Raw genomic sequence first — 6115 nt, forward strand, 5'->3', positions numbered from 1 at the left:
AATAAAATAAAGCCCTGAGAGAAGGAAGTCTAACAGAGGGCAAAGCAAACTATAATCCCTTGCTGGTCAGTCTTCTTTTTCCTACAAAATGTCTAGGAATACCTATAAATACTAAATTATGAAGATTTGAAAAACATACTCTGGACTCATGCTCCATCACTTGTGCTCAGGGACTGTTTAATTGGAGCCAGTACCAAGATGCTAATTCCAAATTTATTCCTCAAAATGATTTCTGCTCCAAATTTAAGCACCCCTCTTAGTTGGCCCAACTTAGTGAATGTCAGAATTTGAGATGAGAGCTGACTGATGAGACTCCAAGCATGGGATGGTGAGGAAGAGCCAGAGGAATTGGCTAAAACATTAGCACCATGCTTCCAGGCATTCACACTGTGCAAATGCTTCTGCGGTGGGCAGGCCTCCTTATTATCTGCAGGTTCCCAAACCAGGAAGACTGTGAGCCATTCCCCCTCAAAGACCAAAGGCGTGGATGCAAATTTGCCCTTATTGCCCAGAGTGGCAGAAATCACTAGAGCACATGGGCTGAGGCATGGCCACATATACCGATGTGTAAGCCACTTATGTGATGGACAGTTTCCTTTCCTTTTATTTTATTTTATTTTGATACAAGGTCTTACTCTGTCCCCCAGGCTGGAGTGCAGTGGCAAGATCATGGCTCACTGCAGCCTCAACCTCCCTGGGCTCAGGTGATGCTCCTACCTCAGCCTCCCAGATAGCTGAGACTACAGGTGTATGCCATCATGCCTACCTAATTTTTTTTTTTTTTTTTTTGACATGGAGATGAGGTTTCTCTATGTTGCCCAAGCTGGTCTCAAACTCCTAGGCTCAAGCAATCCTCCCACCTTGGCCTCCCAAAATGCTGAGATTACAGGCGTCAGCCATTATGTCTGGCCACCATTTATTTTTGAGAGAGATCCCTGAACCAACACCAAAAATGAAAAATGGCCCCTGTTTGATATTTACCCTTTGGGATTGTCTAGTCGTGATTTAGCCAAGAGGTCTGTCTGTAGCATCTACATCTGCTATCATTCCTGGTCAGGTACATGATCCATGGACCCAACCTTAGGAGTGAAGTTAATTCCGTTGAGTCTAGGTAGTTCTGAGTTTCCACATCATCTCATGCACTTTTCATGAGAACGCCTTTTGCCTGGTATTTAACAGATGAGGCAGCTGAGGTGTAGGTAAAGAGATTTCCCCAAGCTCTCAAAGATGCTCATAAAGTAGCGTAACACACAGAATGAAATAGCTGATCCTCAGACCCAGATCTTCTGATTTTAAGCCCAGGATTTTTTCAGTGATCTGGGAACTGCTTTCCCCATAGATTTTCCAAGTGTTACCAATTACTGCCAGTCCTGGTAGGTCCCTGTGTAATACAAGGAACTTCCATAGTAACAGCCTGCTTGTTTCCTCCACTGGGGATGTTTGAAGCCACTAAAACACACATCAAAACTGACATTTATAACTCCTAGTTTTACAGCCTGTACTTCAGAAAGTGATATGTATCAATCTAGCTACTGACATTTAGGGCTAAAAAAAAAAAACAAACCCTGAGGTAATATGATTGGCCACATTCTGTTTTTTTTTTTTTTTTCCCGATATTGCAACCACTGGACTTAAATAGAAAATGTTCAAAAGACCCCAAATGTCACAGTCAAGAACTGCATCTAATTACTAACCAATTAGGTAACATCGTTGGTCTAACTGGCTCGGAGGGAAAGAAAAATGAAAGCCTCAGGACATAAGCCTACAAGGCATTCCAACTTGGTACTGGGGTTGCAAAGCAGAAGTACTTCCTTTTTTAATCTTTCAGCATTTATACTGTATTCCATCTTTAGAGAGAGAGTTAATTTTTCTGTGCTTAGTTTACTAGTTTGTAGAACTCAGCGACTATCTCTGAATAAGGCATAAGGAAGAAAAGTTTGCCACACAGTACCAATTGGGAAAAGCTAACTTATCATTCAGTAACAGGCACTCCCCAGATCTCAGTGACTTTACATTACAAAGGTTAACTGCTCGCTCACAGAACACATCCATCTCCATTTGACAGGGAACTCTCATTCATGTGGTTCTCACGCTGAGACCTGGCTGACAGCAATATCTGGAATATTCTGGTCACTGTGGCTAAGGGGAAGTAAACTCTGGAGGGGCTCACACCAGCAATACTTTGACCTGGAAGTGACATGTGCTATTATTACCTCCTACATCTCTCTTGTAAGAACAAGTAACATGGCCTTATCCTACCCCACCACAAGAGGGCCAGGCAGTGTGGTCCCACCAGAGCAGAAAGCAGGAAATACTCAATATACCACCCTCATGGCTGGTGGTACTGGGATAAAAATTGCATCTCAGAAAGAAAAAAACAAGTCTCTTTTCAACATATTCTGCTATTCTGATGCTTGCCTTTGACGTTGTCGTTCACGTGAAAACCAAACATTGTAAAATGTGTATGTTAAAGGGAATTTGGAAAATAGAAACACAAATTTTGAGCTATTAATGTTTTGTGAATGTCCATAGTGTAACACCCAAACATCCACACATTCATTCATTCATGAATCTATTCCCCATGCAGATGTTAACTGAGCAATAGACAGATGATGAGGACATGCACAAAGCAGTCCCTTCACTCCTAGAACTGACAGTACCTGGGGGAGATGGCCTGCCATGCACCACTACCACAGTGTGACAGAGGAAGAAGGGGCCAGAAGCACATAGGAGGGGCGCCCAATCCAGTTAGAGCGTCAACAGAGACTGCCGGGAGGATAGTACCCCTAGGCTGAGACATGAGAGAAAGGAAACACATTTTGGTACATTTCCTTTCAGTCTGTTTCCCTCTAAGCCTAGTTTGTTATTTTTACATAATTGTAAGAAAACTGTTTAGCCGAATTTGTATACTGCTGTGCAGAAAACTAGGTCTTTAGAGTTTCACTTTTTAACTCAGAGAAATCCATATGACAACAGTTTCTTACTTCCAATAAAACTTCAGCATATGAACAAAATTTGCAAATGTGGAATTTTATGATGCTGATACAGAAAACATATGTTAACTAAGAATGAGCTTGTATTTTTACTTCTCAGTATTTTATTGCCTTAGCCAGGCTGTCAACCAAATATATAAATTTCAAACATTAAGAGGTACAAATCAACCCACTAAAATATCTGTCAGAGCTTTCTGCATTAATCAACTGTGATGTATTGTAACATACAGGGAAAAAAATTGTGACAGAAATTCAAAACTAATCGAATAAGCATAATATTAAAAAGCATGAATTTGAGTTATTACTTAAGCTTAAATAAAAGAGTGGAGCGAAAACTTCCTGTAGTACCTGCACATTGCAGTTTATTATAAATTTTCTACGTGTTATAGAAAATTAAACTGTGTACTACTTATAAAAGGGTTTTAATTTAATTGGACACATTCAAGTTATATTAAAATATATTTCAAACCTATTTTGGTTGCTTTAAAGAGTAGCTTAAAATTCTACACTCAATGTTGACTAATATTTTAAAATTCTTTAAAATTTTGGCCAAAAAGGGCTAATTTCTTAATAAGTATATCTCTCTTTAGCCAAGAGCCAACATCATGTCTGATGGTGAAACACCAAAGGCGTTTCCATTAAAATTCAAAAAGATAAAGAAAAGATTGTCCCATCATAAATATTAAATAACAGTTTTCAGAATATTCTGGCTAGTTCTCAAAATAAGATTAGAAATAAGAGGAATAAACATTGGAAGGAGGGGAATTATCATTATTTTTCATGAACAAAATTATATACTTAGAAAGCCCATAAAAATCTCTCATAATCATTAAGAATTTCACTAAAAGTGATAGATGAATCTGCACAGTCAACCACTATTTTAAATAAGTATAAAAATGTTAAAAATACAAAAGCTAAGATTAATTATGCTTATAATCATAGCAATGTGTAAAAACACACCTGGAATAAATGCTAAAAAAATGTGCATAAATCATAATAAATAAATTACAAAGTATTTCTCTGAAGATTTAAAAAATTTGTCTCCATAAAAGCCCAAATAATATGAAGATAATTCATCCCAAATTGATTGATGACCAGCTGGGCATGGTGGCTCACGCCTGTAATCCCAGCACCTTGGGAGGCCGAGGCGGGTGGATCACCTGAGGTCTAGAGTTCAAGACCAGCCTGGCCAACATGGTGAAACCCCATCTCTACTAAAAATACAAAAATTAGCCGGGTGTGGTGGCACACGCCTGTAGTCCCAGCTACTCAGGAGGCTGAGGCAGGATAATTGCTTGAACCGGGGAGGCAGAGGTTGCAGTGAGAGGAGATCATGCCAATGCACTCCAGTCTGGGTGACAGAGTGAGACTTTGTCTCAAAAAAAAAAAAAAAATTGATTGATGAGCTTAAAGTTATTCCAGTTGAAGTATTTTCTGTCTCTAACTGGATTAATTGAATTATCTTAGATTTTTCCCATTCTGTTAGCTAAGAAGTTATATTTATTCATCTGCTACTCTAGTATTTTTCCTTAGATTTTAAACAAAACAATGTAAATGTGTTTCTCTATCGATATCAAGACTTATGTCATAACCTACTCTCCCACCCCATTCTACAACTACCAGTAATTCCTATATTTAGCTGAGATCACCTGGAATTTTAGTTGTTTTTGTTTTTTGTTTTTTGTTTTCTGAGACAGGGGTCTCACTCTGTCACCCAAGCTGGAGTACAGAGGCACAAACTCCACAAACTGCAGCCTCAACTTCCTGGGTACAAGCTATCCTCCCTCCTCAGCCTCCCAAACAGCTGGGACTACAGGCACATACCACCATTCCTGGCTAATTTCTGTATTTTGTAGAGATGGAGTTTCACCATGTGTTTCCCAAGCTGGTCTCAAACTCCTGGCCTCAATTGATCTGCCTGCCTCAGCCTCCCAAAGTGCTGGGATTACAAGTATGAGCCACCACACCTGGCCTTAGTTCTATATTACTATTTTTTTCGGAAAGTTTTAAAACCAATTTGCCATAACATCTCAGCCACTTTGTTTAAACTGAAGCATATTTTTACTGGTGTCTTTATATATTTATGTGACTATTCACAGACTTCTCATAGCTCATAGTTCCACCCCTCACTTCCCCACACACACTTCTAAAAGTATTATTCTATCTTTCCAACTGTGTTTCTGATGCCAACTGATACTCGTTTCAGGGAAATGGGCAAGTTGAAAAGTATAGGGGTGTACTTGCCTGCTTGATAATTTATATTAGAAAAGGCAGGGAGTTACTCTAGAAAGAAGCGGGGAAATAAATAAATTCAAACAGTTATGGGCATGGGCATAGGGTGAAAAAAATTATGGAGATCTTAGAATAAAGAAGAGAGATGTCAGGGCAGGTGGCATATATGGGAGACATTAAGAGACAAAAACAGGCTAGAGGATTTGAAAAAGTTTTATAGTGCACACTAATGTAATTCCCCTTTGACATTTTCTCCATAAATTTCATAAAATATTTTAGTTGATTTTAATTTTATCTATTTATTTGTTTGCTTATTTGTTTGCTTTACCATTATATCTTTGAATGTGACTCCTTATTTAAATTGCATTAGAGGGTGCTTCAGCTTTATATGGATTTTATTTATATATCATTCTATAATATACAAATCATACCATTCTATGAATTAAGAAATTCAGACCCAGACAGAAAAATCCAGTTCCTTTGGCACCTGAGTAGTTGTCAAAGACTTCAATGAATCAATCAGTTACTTTTCATTTTATAACAAGTCATCTCAAAACTTAGTGGCTTAAAACTACGAACAGGGCCAGGTGCAGTGGCTCATGCCTGCAATCCTAGTGCTTTGGGAGGCCGAGGCAGGAGGATCACTTGAGCCCAGGAGTTCAAGGCTGCAGTGAGCCATGATTATATCACTGCACTTCAGCCTGGGTGACAGAGTGAGACTCTGTCTCAAACAAACAAAAACTTCAAACAGTTATTATTTGTCATGATTCTGTGGGTTGGCATGGCTGCCCATAATTCACATAATAGCAGAAAGATGCCCAAAAGCCTCTTCTTGAGTTACCTTTGCTATTGTCCCATTGGCCAAAGCAAATTCTCTGGCAAAGCCCAGA

General features: G+C 38.9%; 1 annotated feature.

Moving 5' to 3' along the window:
- Nucleotides 1649–2374: an enhancer, noted in NCBI's record as "OCT4-NANOG hESC enhancer chr7:21300935-21301660 (GRCh37/hg19 assembly coordinates)". NCBI's record gives its function as "activates a minimal SCP1, AML or CMV promoter by ChIP-STARR-seq in naive H9 embryonic stem cells {active_cell/tissue: H9 hESC(naive)}" and the evidence as "EXISTENCE:reporter gene assay evidence [ECO:0000049][PMID:30033119]".

Source organism: Homo sapiens, chromosome 7, assembly GCF_000001405.40.
Source record: "Homo sapiens chromosome 7, GRCh38.p14 Primary Assembly".
NCBI classification, from domain to species: domain Eukaryota; kingdom Metazoa; phylum Chordata; class Mammalia; order Primates; family Hominidae; genus Homo; species Homo sapiens.